This window comes from Homo sapiens, chromosome 18, assembly GCF_000001405.40.
Source record: "Homo sapiens chromosome 18, GRCh38.p14 Primary Assembly".
In the NCBI taxonomy this organism is placed as follows: Eukaryota; Metazoa; Chordata; class Mammalia; order Primates; family Hominidae; genus Homo; species Homo sapiens.
Genome location: NC_000018.10, coordinates 11780375 through 11805118, shown reverse-complemented (window position 1 = coordinate 11805118; position 24744 = coordinate 11780375). Strand labels below are relative to the sequence as shown.

The window sequence follows — 24744 nt, the reverse complement described above, 5'->3', positions numbered from 1 at the left end:
ATGTTCCACTCAAATTGCACCTGTACTTCACTACACAGTATCTCCATGTTCCACTCAAATTGCACCTGTACTTCACCACTACACAGTATCTCCATGTTCCATTCAAACTGCATCTGTACTTCACCACTACACAGTATCTCCATGTTCCACTCAAACTGCACCTGTACTTCACCACTACACAGTATCTCCGTGTTCCACCCAAACTGCACCTGTACTGCACCACTACACAGTATCTCCGTGTTCCACCCAAACTGCACCTGTACTTCACCACTACACAGTATCTCCGTGTTCCACTCAAACTGCACCTGTACTTCACCACTACACAGTATCTCCGTGTTCCACTCAAACTGCACCTGTACTTCACCACTACACAGTATCTCCGTGTCCCACTCAAACCGCTCCTGTACTTCACCACTACACAGTATCTCCGTGTTCCATCCAAACCGCACCTGTACTTCACCACTACACAGTATCTCCGTGTTCCATCCAAACCGCACCTGTACTTCACCACTACACAGTATCTCCGTGTTCCATCCAAACCGCACCTGTACTTCACCACTACACAGTATCTCCGTGTTCCATCCAAACCGCACCTGTACTTCACCACTACACAGTATCTCCGTGTTCCATCCAAACCGCACCTGTACTTCACCACTACACAGTATCTCCGTGTTCCATCCAAACCGCACCTGTACTTCACCACTACACAGTATCTCCGTGTTCCATCCAAACCGCACCTGTACTTCACCACTACACAGTATCTCCGTGTTCCATCCAAACCGCACCTGTACTTCACCACTACACAGTATCTCCGTGTTCCATCCAAACCGCACCTGTACTTCACCACTACACAGTATCTCCGTGTTCCATCCAAACCGCACCTGTACTTCACCACTACACAGTATCTCCGTGTTCCATCCAAACCGCACCTGTACTTCACCACTACACAGTATCTCCGTGTTCCATCCAAACTGCACCTGTACTTCACCACTACACAGTATCTCCGTGTTCCACTCAAACTGCTCCTGTACTTCACCACTACACAGTATCTCCGTGTTCCAAACTTCACCTGTACTTCACCACTACACAGTATCTCCGTGTTCCACTCAAACTGCTCCTGTACTTCACCACTACACAGTATCTCCGTGTTCCATCCAAACTGCACCTGTACTTCACCACTACATAGTATCTCCGTGTTCCATCCAAACTGCACCTGTACTTCACCACTACACAGAATCTCCATGTTCCACTCAAACTGCACCTGTACTTCACCACTACACAGTATCTCCGTGTTCCATCCAAACTGCACCTGTACTTCACCACTACACAGTATCTCCGTGTTCCATCCAAACTGCACCTGTACTTCACCACTACACAGTATCTCCGTGTTCCATCCAAACTGCACCTGTATTTCACCGCTACACAATATCTCCGTGTTCCATCCAAACTGCACCTGTACTTCACCACTACACAGTATCTCCGTGTTCCATCCAAACTGCACCTGCACTTCACCACTACACAATATCTCCATGTTCCATTCAAATTGCACTTGTCCTCTTTAAATATACACAAATAATAATAAAGATAATATATAAAAACTGGTAACAAAAAACCCCAAGCAACCCAATGCTACAATCCAAGTGTCCATGGGCAGAAGAATGGATAATGGAAATGCAGTCTAGACACACAATGGAGTATCATTCATCCTTACAAAGGAAGGCAGTTCTGACACATGCTACAACATTGATAAAGCTTGAGGACTTTGTGCTAAGTGACATGAGCCTGTCACAGAAGGACGAATACTGGATGATTCCACTTACATAAGTCAAAATCATAGAGACAGAAAGTAGAAGCATCGTTGCCAGGGGCTGTGGGGAGGAAGGAGTTGGGAGTTGTCTCATGAGCACAAAGTTTCATTTTGGGAAGATGAGAAAGTTCTGGAGATGGATCTTGGTGATGGTTGCACAACAGTGTGAATGTTCTATGCCACAGAAGGTGCACTGAATAATGACTAAGATGGTAAAATTTATGTTATATGTATTTTATCACAATAAAAGAATATATTATGAAAACAAAACAAAAACAATCCAGTACTTTCCATCTCCAAGTGAAACCTAAAGCCTCTCGTCATCTGACCTCCCCATTCCCTGGCTCCCTGATTCCCCTCCCCACCCAGCCTGGCTCACTCTTCTCCAGACACACAGCCCGGGTACCTCTCGAACTCGAGAGCCTGCCTCCTTGGGCCACTGCCGTGCCCTTCCCTTCTACCAGCTTCTGCTCAGATGCCACATCCTCCGCAGCCCCGGAGAAAATGGCAACTCCCTGCCACCCGGCAGTCCCTACCCCGCTTTATTCTTCTTTCCCACCCACGCATCAGCCATCAACACACTGTGTGCTGATTTTCTTATTGGTTTGTTTCTCCTAACAGAGACTCAGCTTCATAAGAAGCTTTTAATTCATAGTAGCTAGAATTACGCCTGATATAGAAATATGCAGTGACCAGTTTTGGAATCTGTGGATGGATGGGAAGTCACTGGGGGTTTGGATGAAGAGAATCCCAGAGCTCTGCTTCAGGACCATGAGTGCAGAGGTCAGGGATGTGGACTAGAGGGTGAGCCACTGCCTGCAACAAGACTGGTCTCAAGAGTATGGTGATGAGTGTGTTTCGAAATCAAGAAGTACGCCTGGGTGTAGGGTGGCAGTGGGGAATTCAACCACATCACCAAGGCAAAAGCAAGAAACCATGAGGAGCAAGCACTGGTGGACAGCTCCCTTCCAACCAGTTCAGGTAATCCAGTAAGGACTTGACATTTCCCAGGACTGTCCATGACTTGAGGAACTCCGTAAACAGAATGGTTTCAGTTCTTACCCTGTCATCAGTCTTTTAGGGCCAAACAACAAAATAAGTGGCCAGCAAAAGGATTTTCGGGCGAAGTTCGTAAGGAGCATACTCTTTATTTTATCGCTTTTTGCTAACTTGACTCTAAATATAAAGAAAATGAAATTTTCTTGGCAAGTAGTCTTCCTACCAGAAAAAAAATGTCCCTAAACTTTCAGGGAAACAGGTAACCAAGTTTATATTTGAAAAAGTTAAAACTGTAAATATGACAGCTATGTATTGCAGTGATTTTTGCCATGATTATGCTTGATTATTATACTGATTATTGCTATTACCAGTTCCTTACAGATGGTGAAGGAGGTCCCTACTCAGGTGTCTAATGCACATCTTAAACTCAGCATGGCCAGGCTCGAACTCCTGACCCCCGGGACCTGCTCCACCTGCAGCCTTCAGACCACAGGGGAAGGCAGGTTTGTCTTCCCAATGGCTCAGAATAAACCATGACATCATCCCTGATGCTTCTCTTGCTATCACGAGCCACATCCATCACATCAGCAAGGCTCTACTTTCAAACTGGATCCAAATTGAATCTCACTACTTCCATGATTCCAACCATCCGCACCTCTCACCCAGATTATAGCAGCAGCCTGGTCTCCTTGCCTCTCTATGGCATCTTCTGAAACAGTGGCCAGGGTGATGTTTTCACAGTGTAGGTCAGCTAGGGCCCCTCCTCCACTCAAAATCCTCCAACGGGACCTTATTCACTAAGAGTTCCTACAATGACCTGTAAGGTCCGCCTCCCGGGTTCAAGCGATTCTCCTGTCTCAGCCTCCCTAGTTGCTAGGACTGCAGATGTGCACCACCACGCCTGATTAATTTTTATATTTTTAGTAGAAACATGGGGTTTCACCATGCTGGCGAGGCTGGTCTTTAACTCCTGACCTCAGGTGATCCACCTGCCTTGGCCTCCCAAAGTGCTGTTATTTCAGGCGTGAGCCACTGCGCCCAGCCCACACTGTGGTTTATTGATTTATTATGTTTCATTCATTCTCTGTATCACCCCCTATACTATAAGCTCCCCCAGGGCAGATATCTTTTTGTTTTGTTCCTGATGTATATCAAGCACTTAGCATTGCCCTTGACACATGCTAAGAGTTCAGTAAATATTTGTTTCATGAGCAGTGGATGAATAAACTTTTCCAGGAAGTGTCTTCTCTCACTCTGTCTTCTACCTACTTTGTTGTACAGTTTCACCTCCATGCCAAAAGCCTATGTGAATTAGGTTGAAAATTCATATCAATTATTTGTTAGCAACTTTGAGGTGATGGGAATTGGGTTTGTGTCTGCAAGTGGGAGTTGTATTTTGGTGTTTAGACCATGTTTGTCCTGGTTCTACTTCATAAGTAATTTAGAAAGCAACTTTTCTGGCATCCAAGAACACAATTATCCTCAGAAAGTCATACATAATTCATGTAATTGATAATGAATGGACTAGGAAATGTTAAGTGGCTTTCCTTCCTATGACAGAGAAGCCTGCGGAAGAGAAAGCACCTTCCACATGACAGCCCCACGAGTCTCCCAGAGGCCGCCTGGCCCCTTCCTGATTTCTGCTGTACCTGAGTATAACCCACCACCATATAAATTGGCAAAGAACAAATTCAACCTGGGCCATGGCCTCAGGGACATCCTACCAAAGGCAGTGGCCTCTTTCATTCCGTGGGCTTCTGGCAGGACATATACCTCCTTTTCCCAGCAAATGCTGCTCCCACACAACAATAAACTGCTTCTTGGCACTTACAGGCCACCCCAGAGTATCCATCACGAGCCCATCCTTTCATGCCTGTAGAATTCTTAATTATGACCAGTGAGAGGATAATAAGCAATGTACATGTTCAGCAATTCTCCCAATTCGCAGTTTGCAATGTTACCCCCACAAGACCCTTAAATATCTGCCCTCACTGCAGGGGTGGATTGGACACCTGCTGCTCGTCATCTTATCTTATTTAATCAATCCTATCTATCTATCTATCTATGTTCCATCTATCATCACTTGTATTATCCATCCATCCACTCACCCATCCACCAATCTGACTGCCTATCATCTATCTATCACGTATACTATGTGTGAAAGAAATGTATGAAGACATGAATATACATCATTGTTCATTGTTGAAGGTTGTTGACCTAATGGGAAAAAACAGCACGTGCCATAGGATTCAATTTAATAAATAAAGCAAATAATAATAATGACAGTGACATTTTAGTTTCATGGCCAGTAAAGGGTAGAGATATATGACAAAAAATAGGGAAAAGGAATGGAGAGGGAAAAAGGGACACGTACAGGGGGAGGGAAAGACAGTGAAGAGTGAGGGGCGAGAGAGAGGGAGAGAGAAGGCCTCAGGGAGCACCAGACAGACAGGTGCACACTTGCCTGAGGACAAGGAAAAGTGGGGCATTTTGTAAACTGTGCCATTGTCAGTCCACTGCTGAAAATTTAAAAGCACCACTTAAAAAAAAACTATATGCAAAAGTAGTACAGGCTGAATATCCCTTATCTGAAATGGCTGGGGCCAAAAGTATTTCATATATTGGATTTTTTTTATACGTAGGTTGAGCATCCCTAATCCAGAAATCTGAAATTTGAAATACTCCAGTGAGTATTTCCTTTGAGTGTCATGTAAGCGCTCAGAACATTTAGGATTTTGGAGCCTTTTGAATGTTGGATTTCTGGATTACACATGGTCAAGCTGTAATAACTATGGGTGTGTCAGCTGATAGCAAACTGAAGGCTAGAACTTGCTGAGGGCTGGACAGTGACCCTATTATACCCCTGTGCTATTGTAGAAAGCTAGTAAAATATTTGAATAATTTCTCATTGTAGAAATAAGAGAACATTTATGTTTAAGACAGAGCAATGAACAGATATCATGGAAGGCGTTCAAAAATGGCTTTACACTTTCCCTAAGACAACAGAGTGGTGAAGTACTCACAGTGCTTCTGGGCTGGAGACATGATACTTTCTTTCAAAAGCAGCCTCAGAGGGACAGACTGTCCCTGTGGCTGGGGACACATGGGGATATGGGCTTGGGATCCTGGGGTTCATTAGTTTGAGGCTTAATTTCCAAAGATGTTAAAAGGTGTGTTCATTTAACTTTTTTTTTTTTTTTGAGACAGACTCTCGCTCTGTTGCCCAGGCTGGAGTGCAGTGGCTTGATCTCGACTCATTGCAACCTCCGCCTCCCAGGTTCAAGCAATTCTCCTGCCTCAGCTTCCCAAGTTGCTGGGATTACAGGCGTGCGTCACCGTGCACAGCTAATTTTTCATATTTTTAGTAGAGATGGGGTTTCACTATGTTGGCCAGGCTGGTCTCAAATTCCTGATCTGCCTGCCTCGGCCTCCCAAAGTGCTTGGATTACAGGCATGAGCCACCCACCGTGCCCAGCCCCATTTAACGTATGTTAAACTACTTAACTGCTTTTAGCTTGTGATTGAGCACCCATATTTTATTGTAAACATCCTACTTTATAATATAAATATTGCTGAACAAGAGAAAATATCCTTAAATCCATGAAGGCATTTAACATCTTTCAAAATTATATTCAAAGTATATAATTTTGAACATGACAAATGTCAGCAAGCCACTACATTTATGTTGCAAATATAAACATAATTCATACATATTTGAGGAACTGGCTCAGCATTTGCTTTTTTTAAATAAAGGTAAGAGAAGACTGGAGAACAGTTAAATACTGATTACTGTGAAGGCACAAAGAATTCAGAGAATGAGCTGGGTGGGGTGAAGGTCAGGTTCAGGTGAACTCTATGCTACTCTGTGTCTTGTCACTGCAGAATTGAACTTCTGTCTAGTTTGTTCGATAGGAAAAGAGGCACTCTGGTGACATACTGCCATTAACTACAAAGGTTTCACAGTTATGTCTTGGAGAATGTAACACTAACCCAAGAATATGAATATAATGAACATGTTTTACAAATTAACTTTTTAAAATTAAAAAGAATTTAATAGCGCATAATGAGCTGCTAAAGAGAACCTAAGATGTTATTACTTAATTTAATTTTAGAGATGGTGTCTCACTGTGTTGTAAAGTCTAGATTCAAACTCCTGGGCTCAAGTGATCCTCCTGCCTCAGCCTCCAGAGTAACTGGGACTATAGGAGACAGCCACCGTGCCTGGCTTTGCATGTTAACTTTAGAAGATTGTATTTGATCATTATATCTTTGCTATCAGAAAGTGTCTGCTGGAATATGTTGTTGAAGGAAACCTAATTTATTCATTTAAGTTATAATGTTCATAACAGCACTGTCTGGTTAATTCACTAACCCTCTCTCTCTCCAACTGTATGTAACTACACTAGCTCACTGGCTGATCCCAAAACACTGAATCAATGTTTGACTTTTTAGTAGTGATCTTTTAGTTTTGCCTTTTTCCATGTGGGCCTGTTTTGAAAAAAAAGAATGCATATCAGATTCATTTCTTTCTTTCTTTTTTTTTTTCTGTGAGACAAGGTCTCACCTCTCTCTGTCACCCAAAGGGGAGTGCAATGGCATGATCTTGGCTCACTGCAGCCTCCACTTCCTGGCTCCAGCAATCTTCCCACCTCAGCAAACCAGCCCCCCCACCACCCAAGTAGCTGGGACTACAGGTACACACCACCATGCCCAGCTAATTTGTGTATTTTTTGTAGAGGTGGGGCTTTGACATGTTGCCCAGGCTTGTCTTGAAGTCCTGGGTTCAAGCAATCCACCTGCCTCTCAGCCTCCCAAAGTGCTGGGATTACAGGTGTGAGCCATCACGCCTGGTGGACAGATTGTTTTCTAAATTCACTCAGAAGCTTGTTTCTTTGATAACACTGTGCAAAAAGAGTTATGGAAAAAATACTAATAAGAAATTAAAGAGACAAAAATTGGTATCCTATAAACAAAACTTTTTTCTCTGATCATAAAAAAGATTTAAAATTAAGTCAGTCCAAAGAAACAATATAGCAACATAAATCAAAAGCCTTAAAGATGCTGTCTTTTTAAGAAGTTCTGGCCGGGTGCGGTGGCTCACGCCTGTAATCCCAGCACTTTGGGAGGCCAAGGGGGGTGGATCACCTGAGGTCAGGAGTTTGAGACCAGCCTGGCCAACATGGCGAAAACCCGTCTTTACTAAAAAAATTACAAAATTAGCCAGGCCTAGTGGGATAATCCCTTGAGTCTGGGAGGCTTGAGCCCGCGTGGCAGAGGCTGCAATGAGCCAAGATCACACCACTGCACTCCAGCCTGGGTGGCACAGTGAGACCCTGTCTCAAAAATAAGTTCTGATAGGGACTTATCCTCAGATGAAAAGAAAACCAGAGAGCTGTAAAAAGCTACATGTATATGCAGTATTATTTATAATAGCAAAAAAATTAAATGACTACATTAGGAAATTTGGAAATGAGTAATGGGATACTTATATGATGAATGCTACATAGCCATTAAAAATCAGGTTGTAGAAGCATTATTAACTGAAATGAAAAATGTTTCTAATAAGTTTAAAAAGCAGGTTTGAAATCAGTAGCTATACTGAGATCCTAATTTAATTAAAATGGTTATACCTGTTTCTATGACACTGGCAGGATATCACCGAATGTTTGCAGTGCTTATCTCTGGGGGATGGGACAATGGAAAGGTTGCGTGTTTTGTTTTTTTTTTTTTTTTTTTTGTGAGAAGGAGTCTCGCTCTGTCACCCAGGCTGGAGTGCAGTGGCTCGATCTTGGCTCACTGCAAGCTCCGCCTCCCGGGTTCATACCATTCTCCTGCCTCCCCAGTAGCTGGGACTACAGGCGCCCGCCACCACGCCTGGCTAATTTTGTTTTGTATTTTTAGTAGAGACGGGGTTTCACCGTGTTAGCCAGGATGGTCCCGATCTCCCGACCTCGTGATCCGCCCGCCTCAGCCTCCCAAAGTGCTGGGATTACAGGCGTGAGCCACTGCGCCCGGCCCAGTGGAAAGGTTTTATCTTCCTTTGTTGCACTTTTCAGTCTTAAAAATGAAAAAATCTTATAACAAGCATGTCCAACTGTCATATTAAACCACACATTGTTGGTGGTGTTGGTGGCCTGGGATCACCTTTCACTGGCTTCCTGCTTACTATGCCATTCTGTAAATTTGTGGTTTGTGTATATAAAGTTAATGAATGGGTTAAGGAGGGATGGTTACTTTCCTCCAGTGCCATAGCATTCTCCTTCCGGGCGAATACTTGGTGTCCGTTAGCTGACCCCAGCTTTGATGAACCTCATAACTGGGTCCTCCATTCCTGGGAGGGATCAGCTATTACTGTCTAGGAACGCTCTATCCCCAATCACCTGGAGCTGGTGAGATGGGAATTTTTTACTCTTAACCCATGGCAAGGCCATTTCTCCTTGGAGAAGGTTGTTTTCATTCTTAGTGGAGTCTGATGAGACCTGCAGAACCCAGGCGACATCCAGACCTTCAACACAGGGAGCTCTTCTCAGCCAAGGGACCTCTGGAGGAACCAGAGGCCTGGATGGCAGCAGAGTCCTGCTGTCCTGCAGCTTGGTGACACAGCCACATGGCCAGACACACAGACTGACGCCTCACACAGAATCATGCTCAGTATCTAAGCAAGTGACTATTTAAAACAGGTCTCAGCTGAACTTCTCTCATAATGGCATTTACACTAAGTACAAAGCCTTTCACTACATCTGCTCTTCTGTCGCCATCCTTAAATCTGTAGTTTATCAATGAAGGATATTTGGTGACACTGCAATATTTATAAATTATTTCAATCTATTTTTCAATAAGCAGGAATTTAAGAAAGCTATTTTTTCCTAATGATAGTACAAATGTTGTTAAATGCCTGTTCATTTTTTTTTTTTTTTTTTTTGAGACAGGGTCTCACTCTGTTACCCAGGCTGGTGTGTAGTGAGCTCACTGCGTCCTCAACCTCCCTGGCTCAGGTGATCCTCCTGCCTCAGCCTCCTGAGTAGCTGGGACTACAGGTGCATGCTATCATGCCTGGTTAATTTATTGTAATTTTTGTAGAGGTGGGGTTTTGCCATGTTGGCCAGGTTGGTCTTGAACTCCTGGACTCAAGTGATCCAGCTGCCTCCAGCTCCCAAAGTGCTGGGATTAGGCTGGGCAGGGTAGCTCACACCTGTAATCCCAGCACTTTGGGAGGTTGAGATGGGCAGATCACCTGAGGTCAGCAGTTCAAGACCAGCCTGGTCAACATGGAAAAACGCTGTCTCTACTAAAAATACAAAAATTAGGCAGGCATGATGGCAGGCGCCGGTAATCCCAGCTACTCAGGAGGCTGAGGCAGGAGAATCGCTTGAACCTCGGAGGCAGAGGTTGCAGTGAGCTAAGATCGCGCCACTGCACTCCAGCCTGGGTGACAGAACGAGACTCTGTCTCAAAAACAACAAACAAACAAACAAACAAAAAACAAAGTGCTGGGATTACAGGCGTGAGCCACTGGGCTGGCCTGTCCTTTTTTTTTTTTTTTTTTTTTTTTTAACCTGTGTGTTTTTAATTGAAGTGAAATTCACATAACATAAAAGTAACCATTTAAAAGTGTGCAACTCAGTGGTGTTAGTGTATTTACAGCGTTGTGTAACTGCCCCTCTAGTTGAAAGGCATTTTCATCAGTCCAAAAGGAAATCCTGTGCCCACCAGGTGGTCACTCCTCATTCCCTCTTCCCTCCAACACCTGGCAACTACCAATTTGCTTTCTGTCTCTATACATTTGCCTATTCTGGACATTTCATATGCTTGGAATTACAATATGTGGCCTTTCACATCTAGCTTCTGTCACTTAGCATACTGTTTTCAAGGTTCATCCATGCTGTGGCAAGTATCAGAACTTCGTTCCTTTTGATGGCTGAGTAATATTCCCTTGCACGGATAGAAGACATTTTGTTTATCCATTCATCTGTTGATGAACATTGGGTTGTTTCCACCCTTTGGCTATTGTGAATAGTGCTGCTATCAACATTAATGTGAGATACGTTTGATCCTCTGCTTTCAGTGATTTTGGGATTGCTGGTTCATTTGGTAGTACTATGTTTCAGCTTTTGAGAAACAACCAAACTGTTTTCCACAGTGGCTACACCATTCTGCACTTCCAGCAGCAATGCATGAGGGTTCCAATTTCTTGACATCCTTTCCAACACTTGTTATTTTCTGTGTGTGTGTTAATTATAGAATTCTAGTGGGTGTGAAGTGGCACCCCATTGTGGTTTTGATTTGTGTTGCCCTAATGACAACAGATGTTGAACATCTTTTCATGTGCTTATTGGCCATTTGCATATATTCTCTGGATAAATGCTAAGCAAGTCCTTTGTCCTTTTTTTTTTTTTTTTTTCCCGAGATGGAGTCTCACTGTCGCCAGGCTGGAGTGCAGTGGCGTGCAATCTCGGCTCACTGCAACCTCTGACTCCCGCTCCAGCCTCAGCCTCCCAAGTAGCTGGGATCACAGGCACGTGCCACCACGCCCAGCTAATTTTTTATTTTTAGTAGAGGCACAGTTTCGCCATGTTGGCCAGGATGGTCTCGATCTCCTGACCTTGTGATCTGCCTGACTCAGCCTCCCAAAGTGTTGGGATTACAGGCGTGAGCCACTGCGCCTGGCCCCTTTGTCCATTTTTAAATTATTTGTCTTTTTGTCGTTGAGTTGTAGATTTTTATTTTTTTAGAGACAGGATCTTGCTCTATTGTTCAGGCTGCAATGTGGTGGCACAATCATAGCTCACTGCAGCCTTGAATTTGTGGACTCAAGTGATCCTCCTGCCTCAGCCCCCCAAGTAGCTGGAACTACAGGTGCATGCCACCAGGCCTGGATAATTAAAAAATAAATTGTCTTGTAAGAGATGGGAGTCTCAATTGTTGTCAAGGCTGGTCTCAAACTCCTGGGCTCAAGAGATCCTCCCACCTCAGCCTCCCAAAATGCTGAGATTAAAGGCATGAGCCACTGCACCCAAGCAAAAATTCTTTATATATTCTGGTTACTAGACCCTTATCAGATACACAGTTTACAAATATTTATCTCATTCTGTGGATTGTCTTTTTGCTTTCTTATGTCCTTTGATGCACAAATTTTAAAATTTTGATGAAGTCCAATTTACCTATTTTTTTCCTTTGTTGCTCAAGCTTTTGATGTCATATCCAAGAAATCACTGCCAAATCCAAGATCATGAAGATTTACCCCTACATATAGTCTTAGCTCCTATATTTAGGTGATTGATCTACTTTGATTTAATTTTTGCATATGGAGTAAAGTTATATATGTCTCTTAGAATTAGTTCAATCTAGATTATTTCTCAAATTTCCACAACTTTTTATTGGAAAATGACACTATTCAATAATATAACAAGTCCAACTATATAAACATACCTAAAGTTACTAAGGGATTTGGTAGTGTCCTCTGTCATATGGAAGTTGCATCACCATGTCACCAGGTTGGTAGTTTGCCAAAGACACTTTAAGACAAGAATTACCCTCTCCTTCAAATCTTATAATCAATGCCCAAGTATTCCCTCAGTGCCAACAATTGATCAATCATTCAACAAATATTTATTGAGCTCTAACTCTGTGCTAGGCACCATGCTAGGAGCTAGGATACTGCAATGAATGAGAAAGAGGTGCCCTTGTCCTCAAAGAGTTTGTAATTTTGCAGATTATGTGTCTAGGACAAGGCGAGATGGCCAATACTCCTGTTCTCAAGAAGTCAACACTTCAGTAGGGAGACTATGGCTAAGACATACCAAGTAATTAGAAAACAATACAAGACAAGCTGGGTGCAGTGGCTTATGCCTGTAATCCTAGCACTTTGGGAGGCCAAGGCGGGCAGATCACCTGAGGTCAGGAGTTTGGGACCAGCCTGGCCAACATGGTGAAACCCCATCTCTACTAAAAATGCAAAAATTAGCCAGGTGCGGTGGTGTGCGCCTGTAGTCCCAGCTACTCGGGAGGCTGAGGCATGAGAATTGCTTGAACTCGGGAGGTAGAAGTTGCAGTAAGCTGAGATTGCACGCCACTGCACTCCAGCCTGGGAAACAGGGTAAGACGGAAGGAAGGAAGGGAGGGAAGGAAGGAGGGAGGGAGGAAGGAAACAATACAAGGCAGTAAGTACTGGATATAATTTCGTGACCAAAGCTATGGTGCCAATTAGGAAAGCCACAGGAAGTGGCCAAAAAGGGAGAGGTTGCTCAGTTTCAGGACAGGTTGGAAAGGTCTCCAAAAGAGGTGGGTCTGAACTCAAAAAATTAGCAGGAAATTAAAATCGGAAATGACAATAGTCATAATCAAAATGATTAACAGTCTTTAACAGACTGGCTTAACTGTGCAGGAGACACCTGTACCAGGGGAGACACCTGTGAGAGGTGAGGCTGACAGTGCTGCACTATGGATGTGGTGCAGACCCTCGGGAGTTCTCGGCACACCTGGATCACTGCAGAGGTAGACATGGGAAGCTACTTGAGTCCGAAGTCCTTTGTGTCCTACTTCGAGTCCTTGCAATGAAACCCAATGAAGCAGAAAACTTGATAGATATCTGTCTACAGCAGCTAACCAGTCTAGATGATTGCACCTATAAGCTAACTCTGTTATTCTCTAATATAAAGTCTTTCCTAAATAGATCACATGCAGTAGCTTAATTTTTTGTGTGTGTTTACTATCTGAGCTTAGTATCTTATTAAGATAGTGTGGAGTTGGTTGTAGTTCCTCCCCCACTTTAAAAGCTTTTAAAATGTTTTACCAAGAGAAACACCCAGGGGAGAAATCAGTTCATTTATTTCAAACAAACAAGCATGATCTCTTGATAATCAACCTTCTGTTTAGAAGGCAAAAAGCATCCCTTATGGCTTCTCTGGTTTCACCCCCTAACCCAGGCGTCTTCACTGCTCAACAGGGGAGCCTGTTCTGCTATGGCTATGGAAAAACACCTAGCGGTTCCCATTCCTGTGGCTGGCAACAAAGAAACAAACAGGCAGGAAATTTAAAAATAACTGTGGCTAGTTGCTTCCTTCAGAGTTTCAACATTACTTTCATGGAAACCTTCACTAGGATCCTAGCCATGGCTTAAGAACCCACACAAACCATTTAGCCATGGCCACCACCATGCCGAAAGGACATGCTTAACCAAATTGTTTGGCCTTCCCTTCACAGCTTTAAAGTGACAGTTTAATTTGAAAACAACTCTGGGAATTAGTCACCTCTCATTCCTGAAATCTGGATATCTTGCTCTGTAAATCCTAAATAGTAGTTTCTGGTTTTTCTTAAATTAAGTATTGGAATAGTTTTGATTGAAAAACCATCAGCTGGCTGGACGCGGTGGCTCACGCCTGTAATCCCAGAACTTAGGGAAGCTGAGGCAGGCGGATTACGAGGTCAGGAGATCAAGACCATCCTGGCTAACACGGTGAAACTCCGTCTCTACTAAATATACAAAAAAATTAGCTGGGCGTGGTGGCGGGCACCTGTAGTTCCAGCTACTCAGGAGGCTGAGGCAGGAGAATGGTGTGAACCCGGGAGGCAGAGCTTGCAGTGAGACGAGATCGTGCCACTGCACTCCAGCCTGGGCAACAGAGCAAGACTGTCTCAAAAAAAAAAAAAAAGAAAAAAAAAGAAAAGAAAAGAAAAGAAAAACCATCAGCCAGGCTGGAAGCCAGAGAATTTTACATAAGTGTCAAAGGGGCCTCAGAGGCAAAAATCAAACATGTTAACACTGATTTCCACCTTGGCACTGACCTCCTTTGCAGTTAAGAATTGCTGAATTAAAATAAGTGGTTAAAAATGCTTTATGAGTCTGTATTAAAAATGAAGTCCATCTTAGTGTGAATGTTACATTATTGTAAACAACACATCCCCAAGGACACATTGATGTCAGAGTGTTGGAAGCTGGGGGAATCGTGAGGAGCTGACAAACGCCCTGGAGAATTTCTTCCTCAGAGTGTCGGAAGCTGGGGGAATCATGAGGAGCTGACAGACGCCCTGGAGAATTTCTTTTGTCCCAACAATGGTGTGCAGAGACCCCAGGGGCAGGGCTCTGAACACCCCCTGCCCACTTGCACAAAAGATAGCTCTCAACCCCTCATCCAACAACTGGCTTGAGGAGGTAAACTTCAAATTATTAAAACCATTCTCCCACTTTAATTTTTACTTTGAATACATTTGACATCTCATTGTTCTAAGAACAACAGCACCCTTCCTGGGCCACTGGAGCGTTCTAGAAAGCTTAAGCCTTTACTTCCTGGAACTTTCTTCTCATTTGCATCATCAGTGATCTGAGTCTGACCTTCTTCAACTATTCCTGTGTTTACAAGGAATCCGGTTTGTGATGTTTTACTTCAAACAAAATCCTTTTATCTGAGGCTTTTCCTCTGCAACACAGCAGCATCAATGAGCTAGAAGCTGCATCTTATTACACTGACACTAACAACAAGGCCCTTTCCCAGCTTCTGGGTCTAAGCTTTTCACGTCCTTCCTCTGCAAGCCACATGAGCAGTATATGTATCAATGGCATGTAAGACTCTGTGTCCACCTAAGAGCATCTCCAGATTCTGGTAGCAAATGCTAAGACAGAGGTGATGATAAAATATAAGGAGGAAAAAGAAGACATGGTACTTTATTAGAACAATCCACTTAAAGTACATTTTGTTTATGCTTATAATCTATACAATGATAACTGGATTGTTGGATCCGTGGGGAATCTGCCTATCTATATATAGTCTTCCCCACCATATGGTGCCATAACCTTAAGTTATATGCACATGGAGTTACCCAAATGAGCTAAGAAGTTGTGAGAAAATGCTTAATTAAAGTAGGTTTGCAAATCATCCTCAATCAATGCCAACTACGTGGGAATCCATCATCACAGTCCGTAATGTTAGAGGACAGTTGCTGGGGCTAGAATTTTCAAAACCACTTTACACTTCTTGTATCACTTATTGCTTACCCAGATTTAAATACCTGAGTATCTGGCAGCAACATGTGATAGGAAAGGGATGTTTTCAACAGACTCCACAATTTTGCCTGAGGCTAGCTAAGGTCTTGGCAAGTAAGAGCAATGCCCTGTTACTTAGGACAGTGATTGAGGGCCTCAACTGCTCCTCTGTGTTGTGGCAGGGTTGGCAGAGGTGTGACCTGAAATGAAGGAGGCCCAAGAAAACAGGTTGTGTGGCATCGAGAAAGACTAGTTAGAGGTGGGAGCAGGTGCTGAAACTGAGATAGGCCTAGAGATGGAACTTGTGGTATCAAGTCCTCTTTATAACTAATACTCTACATTTAACTTATCTTACACATTCTATTTTTAAGAAAAAACACTTTTGATATATATGTGTATATATATATATATATATATATTTTTTTTTTTTTTTTTTCGAGACGGAGTCTTGCTCTGTCTCCTAGGCTGGAGTGCAGTGGTGTGATCTCTGCTCACTGCAACCTCTGCCTCCCAGATTCAAGCGATTCTCCTGCCTCAGCCTCCCTAGTAGCTGGCATTACAGGCGTGTGCCACCACACCCAGCTAATTTAGTATTTTTAGTAGAGACGGGGTTTCACCATGTTGGTCTTGAACTTCTGACCAGCCTGACCACCAGGCTGGTCTCGAACTCCTGACCTCAGGTGATCCGCCTGCCTCCGTCTTCCAAAGTGCTGGTATTACAGGCATGAGCCACCATGCCCGGCCAACACTGTCAATATTTTTAATAACTGTTAATAAGTTTTAATGAATCAAGATTTGTTCTGAATTGTAAACATAAAAAGGACTATAGGACAGTACGATTCTTGGCATGATTGTGGAGTGTAAGTACAGAGAAAATGGGGTGGGGGCACACTTATAAATGAGGCCATCTGCATGGGGAACCACTCCTCACAGAACAAGGGCATTGCTGCAAGTTCGCTGTCAGTTTCTGACCACCTCTTAACTCTGGTTATGCCTTGAGAGCCACACTAGGTGTTGCGTTGTGACTGCCACACCTCCTGGTGCCTTAGAAGCCTTTGGGGAGCTATTAAAATAGATTCCTCAAGGCTTCACCCAAGAATTCCTGAATCAAAATCTCTGAGGACAGGCTTAGGGATCTTGTTTGAAAGCTCCCCAGGTGGTTCTGAAGCACAGCACAACTTGGGAATAACACGTTTATTCCACAGCTGAGGAGAAATTCTCAGGGGTGTGTAAGATATCTAAGGCCCGATTACGGTTAATGGCTCCAGGTATGGTCAAGGATAAATTTACTGGGGACAGCAGGAAATAAAAAAGGGAAGTTTGCAGAAGGAAATGGGAAGTTGGCAATGTCAATGAAACTGGGTGCTAAGACACACTTTTTTCCTTTTCTCTGGGATTGGCCAAACCAGTGCCGGCTGCCCATGATCCTATTAAGCAGATATTTCCTTTTTTTTTTTTTTGAGATGGAGTCTGGCTCTGTCTCCCAGGCTGGAGTGCAGTGGTGCAATCTTGGCTCACTGCAAGCTCCACCTCTCGGGTTCATGCCATTATCCTGCCTCAGCCTCCTGAGTAGCTGGGACTACAGGCACCCGCCACCATGCCTGGCTAATTTTTTGTATTTTTAGTAGAGATGGGGTTTCACTGTGTTAGCCAGGATGGTCTCGATCTCCTGACCTCGTGATCCGCCCACCTCGGCCTCCCAAAGTGCTAGGATTACACAGGCGTGGGCCACCGCGCCCGGCCAAATATTTCCTAAATACACATGAAAATAGCTCTCAGGTAATCATGCTATCAGTTTAACTTTTATTACATGATGGCTGCCAAACAACACTTGAAATGTTCTGTATCTGTATCTTATATGAGTTCCGCAACATGTCATTATGACCAAATTATGATAGTACTGTAAATGCTGAGAACTGTTTCGGCCCACCTCACTGGTGATCATATTGTCACTTCCAGCACCATAGCTGTTGCCAAAAAAGTGATGTATTGGCAGAGACTTTAGTTCTAATATTTATACATCCTAAGGAGATGTAAAATGCATTGTCTTGAAGTGGATACAGAACAGACTTCTGCCATTGCCAGGTTCTTGCTTTCCTTTTCCTTTTCTTTATATTTGTCTGGGGAAGTAGAGACATTTTAAAACTGAGATTTAATTAAATTCTATGATCTCTTGACTTTAGCTTTTCATGACTGTTGGTCTAATCCTCCTAATTAAACCATAAGCCCTAGAACAGAGATTATTATTATTATTGTAGAAATGAGGTCTCGCTGTGTTGTTGCCCAGGCTGGTCTCAAACTCCTGGCCTCAAGCGATCCTCCTACCTCAGTCTCCCAAACTGCTGGGATTACAGGCCCAGCCAGAGATTATTTTAAAAACCTTTCCAATAGCCCTCTTAGCTCACTCACCCTCCACCTCCCAGGGCCAGACCCATGCTCTGGACAGGGCTGGGGTAAAGCAGACATAGTTTGAATCAGTAGTTTGATTAGATTGGGAAGTATAAAGGTGAGCTGGATTAACAGAGAAATTATGAAGTGATGTTTATAAAATATAAAAAGATTCAAATGAAAATGTGTGAAGATCGCCGGGCACGGTGGCTCACGTCTGTAATCCCAGCACTTTGGGAGGCCGAGGTGGGCAGATCACGAGGTCAGGAGATGGAGACCATCCTGGCTAACGTGGTGAAAGCCCGTCTCCACTAAAAAAAAAAAAAAAAATTAGCCAGGTGTGGTGGTGGGTGCCTGCAGTCCCAGCTACTTGGGAGGCTGTGGCAGGAGAATGGCATAAACCCAGGAGGCAGAGCTTGCAGTGAGCTGAGACAGCGCCACTGCACTCCAGCCTGGGCGACAGAGCAAGACTCCATCTCAAAAAAAAAAAAAAAAAAAAAAAAAAAAAAGAAAACGTATGAAGATCTATCCCACCACGCTTCTTCAGCCACGTGTAAAAGAACCATTACTAAAATCTCTCATTCAGATCTGACCCTCTAAAATGAATTGATTTTCAGTGGAAGTTGTAGTGCTCAAAGGCACAGGAAAAATAAACCGGGTTTCTACTCCTCTTTCATATTCTTCTCTATAATTTAGTTACTTGGGGTCTTTGAGTAATACTGCCCTGTGAGGATATAACCCTATTAATCATGGTTATCTCCTCCAGGGTTAGCAGGTCCTCCATATTCTAATGTGCACGGAATTCCAGGGCACTGAATTATAAGCTGAAATAAGCACACAAAAGGCCGACAGGATAAACTTCCCCTTCTCCTGATTTCTGGGAGTCAGAATGCTTCACCCTGTTTCTGATAATCTCCTTCTCAGGTAAGAAATAATGAAGGAGGGGCAGCCCCACTTTTCTTTTCTCTCCTTTTTAGAACAGGGAACAGTCATTTTCTTTCACTTTAATAATTTTCTGCCTTGCAAGAGGAATTCAAATGTCTTTCACTTGCCAGGGGAGTGGGAGGAAGGTGGGCGGAAGCCTTTAAAGACCTTCAATAACAGCTCAACACGGGGCTGAGCAGAGGAGCTGCTGCTTAACCCATTCATGGCCGAGGCCATCGCTGACGTTCGCAGGAGAGGGGGCGTCAGACTGGGTCTCTGGGCAGAAGGGTTCCTTCTGGTCTCTCATACACCGGCCTGAACCCAATTTAGAAAAGACTCATTGAAAAAAAAAGCAAGGCAATTCACTGGCACTGATTTCTTTTCCCTAAGATAATTAATTGTAAGCTAAAGAGAAGAAAACAAAACTCTGAAAGGCTGGATGGAGTGCTGTCCAGGGACCATGGTTCTAAGGAGGCAGGGGCCTGCAGCCTCCAGGCCTGGGCGGGGGCCAGAGAAGCTGTCTTCCTGGAACCCCAGCATTGGTAAATCCCAGCATCATCCAGTGTCCTCCTTTCTTCTCCTTGTTCCAGATTTCTGCAATTTGCATTTCCCATTGTTCTACTTATTGGGGGCTTGGAGGCATACAGGCTTACCACGGAGCATCCCATACTTCCATCTGCCTTGTGGACACCCATTCCACATTTCCAGGGATTCCCTAAAGGATGATATCATGGGAAAGAGTGCAGAATCCAGGAGCAATGACCTCATCTTTATCCCAACTTTCAGGTACCCTCTCATTTTCAGCTTTCTAGACTAATTTCCAAATTCCACTGGGATGAAATCTTATATAAAACCATCTAAAAGACTTGACTGGATTGAGGTAGGGGAAAGACAGGTGCACATTTCCAATGGCTGAGAGGGGACGAAAACTGAGCGTGGGACTGGGAAAAAGTATGAATCACAGCAATTCCAGACTTTGCAGAAACTAAAAATGTTACACTATCTGAAACTTTCTTCCAACAACATTGTGCTAATTGTCTTCTGATTCTCAGTTTTAAATAGTAGTGACTGAGTAATTCCTCTTGTTTATTCCCCTTTTCTAAACTCAATTCTTTGTACACCATGAATCATATATTTCCTCCCACTTTTCTGACTCCCATACATACGGACAGCCAGGCTCATGCAGCTTTCTCATAATCCAACAGAGCACGCACAGTCAGTTTCTTCCACGCTCAGAGACCAGGTACTGGCTTTTGGTTTTTTTCAATTCCACTGAGGCCGAAAAAATCTTTCTCCATTTCTTTTACTCAGATTCATAATACATTCCTTTTAAACACACACAGACCACAGCCAACTTCTTGACTTAGAAATAAAATGCTAATTTGTATGTTTTCAGTGAATTACTAAATGCCCTAAAAATTTCATGCAGAAAATAAAATGAAAAGAACAAAATTATACAATCTGCTTCTGCTCAAGCAATACATAATCATGTGGCTCTTTTTGGGCAAAGGCATCAAGAATAGGCTTCAAAAGCACAGCATTAGGCTTGTGGCAGCTTTGGTAAGTGCAGGGGTGTCATCATGAAGGTGTGGCAAGGTAAGGCCTCACCATTCCATCTCCTGCACACACAGAGAACACAGTTGGCTGCCGCAACACCTGTGGCCACGTGGTTGGTTTCATTCCCCATGCTGAGGCCATGGTGGATGACAAGGGAGACTTAGAAGCAGTCAGATTAGGGGTAAGGCCCATTAGGGCGGACACCTCGCCTGCTGACCTGAAGACAGAAACACAATGCAGTGAAGTCTCCAGAAGAGCAACAGGCTCTTGTCAGCACTGGGAGACCAAAGACAAGTACGCTGGTCCCCACCATGAGGAAGCATAGCTGCTAAGCACCAGGCAGTGTCCGGTACTCAGGCAACGCTACTCTCTGCCCTGCATGGGCTTGCTGGGCCACGTGGACATGAGGGACACTCACCCTGAGAGCAGGTACCAGGGGGCCTGGAGTAGCTGGCTACCCTCCTGCCTCACAGGACAATGAACATGCACAGATGGAGCTTCTCACCTGGCCTGTGCCTTTCCTCCCCACTAACACTGATGCTGGGAAGGAAGAAGTCATTATTTCCTTTCTCCATATTCTCTGCAGTAGCCACTAACAGCAGGTGGCCACTGAGCTTGAAATGCGGCTTGCTCAAACTGAGATGTGCCAGACATGCCAAATACACACTAGATTTTGAAGACATTTTTAATGAAAAAAAGAGCATAGAAATTGGAAATTTCTAAACACTACATGCTGAAATAATATTTTTGGATATTTGTATAGCGTTAAAATATATTATTAAGCTTTGCTGATTTCTTTTTACTTTTTAAAAATGTGGCTGCTAGAAAATGCAAAATTACATAGGTGGATTGCATTGGTGGCTCACATTTTATTTCTATTTTCTATGTTTGGTCAGTGCTGGAGTGAGGATGTATTCATTAAAAGAAGTCTCACCACAGTTAAGTGTAGTGATGCCATCACGGTGAGATTAGTAGAGTTTCTTGGCTTTGCAGGCACAATATAAAAGTCTGATTTAATAATTTTTTTCTTCCGATTAGCTAATATAGAGTATTTATGATGTTGAAACTTTGAGCCTAGTCTTTTATGTATTAAATATATTAACTTGTTTAACCCTCACAGCAACTCTGAGGTAAGTACCATTATCATGCCCATTTGAGAAAGGAACAAGCTGACGCACACAGAGGCACTGCCTCTTGGAAGAGGGGAGCTGGGCTCTAAAAGCAGGTGGCCTGGTTCTAGGGAGCAGCCTTGTTTCACACTCACTTCTGTTGAATGTGAGGTGGTCAACAAATTAAACCTGGAATATATACAGAACGAAAAAGTAATGGGAATGACCCACCTCTGGAATTAGTCTAATTAACAAAAGAACAACTGCCAGAATGCGATGTGAAATTTACAGAATGACAGAGTTAGTTACTTTTACAAATGTTGGTTGATATTCTACCATGTCTTTTGCGTAGTCAGAGTCTGGCTTATGGGGATATAACCTCAGTGACTTTGTGGCTGCAAATCTTGAAGCATTGTCACCTATCATAATAAATACAAATCTCAAAATTCTTAAGATTTATGATTCTCTTTATCATGCATTATGCTCACATAGCCCTTTCAGTAGCATCTATGTACATTTTTCCTTTAAAAGACAACACAGCACGAAGAAAGATACATGTTTCTAAACTAGAAAACGAATTTTCTTTTTAATGTGGACCACAGGTGAATAGATCTGGTTAATGACACACAGTCATCATTGACTCTTACATGGCCCTTTTTCATTTTCTTATTTTTTTGTTTAATCATAAAAGGAACACCCATGAGCCCCTCCCATCTCCTTAATAAGACAGGATCAATAACCAATATTTTACTATGATCTCTTCCATACCCCATCTCTCTTCCACCCTTGCCTTCTCTCCTACTATCCTGAATGTTACGACTATCATTCTGTCTCCTTTCAAAAATTTTTATCACAAATACATGCATGCTTAAACAATATAGTACTTAGTTATGCTTGTTTTTTGAACCTTACAAACAAAAGAGGATTATATGTAATCTTTTAACACTTGAGTTCTTCATTCAACATTATGATACTGAGATCCATCCATGTCATTGCATGTGGCTGTAATTCATTCTTTTTCTTTTTCTTTTTTTCTTTTGAGACGGAGTCTAGCTCTGTCACCCAGGCTGGAGTGCAATGGTGCCATCTTGGCTCACTGCAAGCTCCGCCTCCCTGGATCAAGTGATTCTCCTGCCTCAGCCTCCCAAGCAGCTGGGATTACATGCACCTGCCACTACGCCCAGCTAATTTTTGTATTTTTAGTAGAGACAGGGTTTTACCGTGTTGGCCAGGCTGGTCTTGAACTCCTGGCCTCAAGTGATCCGCCCATGTCGACTTCCCAAATTGCTAGGATTACAGGCATGAGCCACTGCGCCTGGCCAACCTTTTCACTGATGAATATTTTATTGTGTGGATATTCCACATATTATGTATCCATTGTCTTGTTAGTGGCCATTTGGGTTGTTTCCAGTTTCTTGTTATAAACAGTGCCACTATGAATATTCTTGAACATGTTTCCTGTTATATATTGCTAATTATAACACCTATTTTGTTTATTTAAACAAATTTGATTTTAAAATACAGTGTGACCCCTCCCCTTTTGGCAATAGCATCTCCTAAGTTTTCCTCAAAAGAGGATTAAACAGAGATCCAGTAGCTTGGCAGTTCAGTTGTATACTATTCAGAATTTCCTTTCCATATTACTTATCAAATACAGCTCCTCAGTATATAAAATGATTAAATGCACAAAGTAGCTTATAATTCTCACAAAGTTTATCTTCAAAGAGCTCAGTAATTTGTTAATTTGTTCCTTATATAAAATGATGTTTTTAAAGATTTATGCAATTAACTAAGGAAATGTCTACAACTGCTCTTTTCTTTTTTGGAAGCAATATGATGTTTAATTCTACAAAATGCTGCTTTTTCTCTATTCTTGATGTAGCAGTGTTTAATAATAGATTTTTGAGGCTGTGGGGGTGTATGGGAGGAGAAATGCTATCACATTAAATGTGCATATCTATTATAAGATACAGAAATTCTATATTTTCAAAGGTGTATATTAAGGCTCTCTCAATCCAAGGTTGGGCTTTCTGGTTTGGGTAATACAAAGGAAATTTAAGAGTTGTTCAGAGCTGTAGTTTAATGGTTAGGTGTTTCTAAGTCCAATTTTTATTTACGAATTGGGGAATGCTTTATTTGCAGTTACCACAGATAATGCATGTTGAAAAGAATGCCTGTAAGTGTAAATGTAGATTTAAAACAACCAAATTTTCCCTATATTTAAAGTCTTAATTTGAAATAGCCGTAAGAAACACTGGTAGTTCTGGTCAGCACTATCATCATTCACTGGTTGATATTTAAAATTTATCTTGCAGAATTTCAATCCTGTAGTCAAGGCTCTCAGTCAGTTAAATGCAAAGGCATTTGATAGAGTAACAGATTAGTAGCCTGTTATCAGTCATTTATACTTCAGTGTGACTTAAGTCTTGCCTACGAATGGACTCCTAGGGTTGGAGTGATCAGAAATGTGTAAGTCAAAGTCTTCTGTGTTTCTGGCTAATTTTCATTGTAATTCAAGTCCTTTTCTGGTTCTAGTATTTGAACTTGGTCAACAGTAATAACAATAATAATTCACATTTACTGAGTTATTCACCTTACCGCGCTTTTTCATGCCTGTGATCTAATTCATTCCTCAGTGTAACTCCATGAGTTTGGTATTAATATAATCATTTTACAGACGTGAAAACCCAAAGGCAGATTGGCTAAGACTGTGTCTGGTTGAGAATGGACTCCAGTCTTTTTCATTTTGGGTTCAGTCCATTGTACCACACTTTACTGGAGCTGACTGGAACAGGTTTGAAAAACTGCTTGGACAGAGGACTTATCTTCCAATTTACAGCTGAAATATTTTTATTTTAAAGAGCCAGAGAGGTTCTGGCAACAAAACTGTAAACATTCATTTTTTGAAGACCTTAAAATATTTAAAACCGAGAGTTGGCATGTCTTAACATTTGACCAAAAAATTATCTTTTTTTTTTTAA

At 42.7% G+C, this 24744-nt stretch overlaps 1 protein-coding gene across 5 annotated transcripts in view, besides 1 other annotated feature; it reads right to left on the bottom strand.

The window, feature by feature from the left end:
• GNAL (G protein subunit alpha L) overlaps positions 1 to 24744 on the bottom strand; it is a 196422-nt gene that overhangs the window by 80567 nt on the left and 91111 nt on the right. The gene's annotated exons all lie outside the window — the stretch shown is intronic.
• Positions 8719 to 8855: a silencer, noted in NCBI's record as "fragment chr18:11796263-11796399 (GRCh37/hg19 assembly coordinates)". NCBI's record gives its function as "represses an EF-1alpha promoter that drives an FKBP-Casp9 reporter gene in an ReSE screen in K562 erythroleukemia cells {active_cell/tissue: K562}" and the evidence as "EXISTENCE:reporter gene assay evidence [ECO:0000049][PMID:32094911]".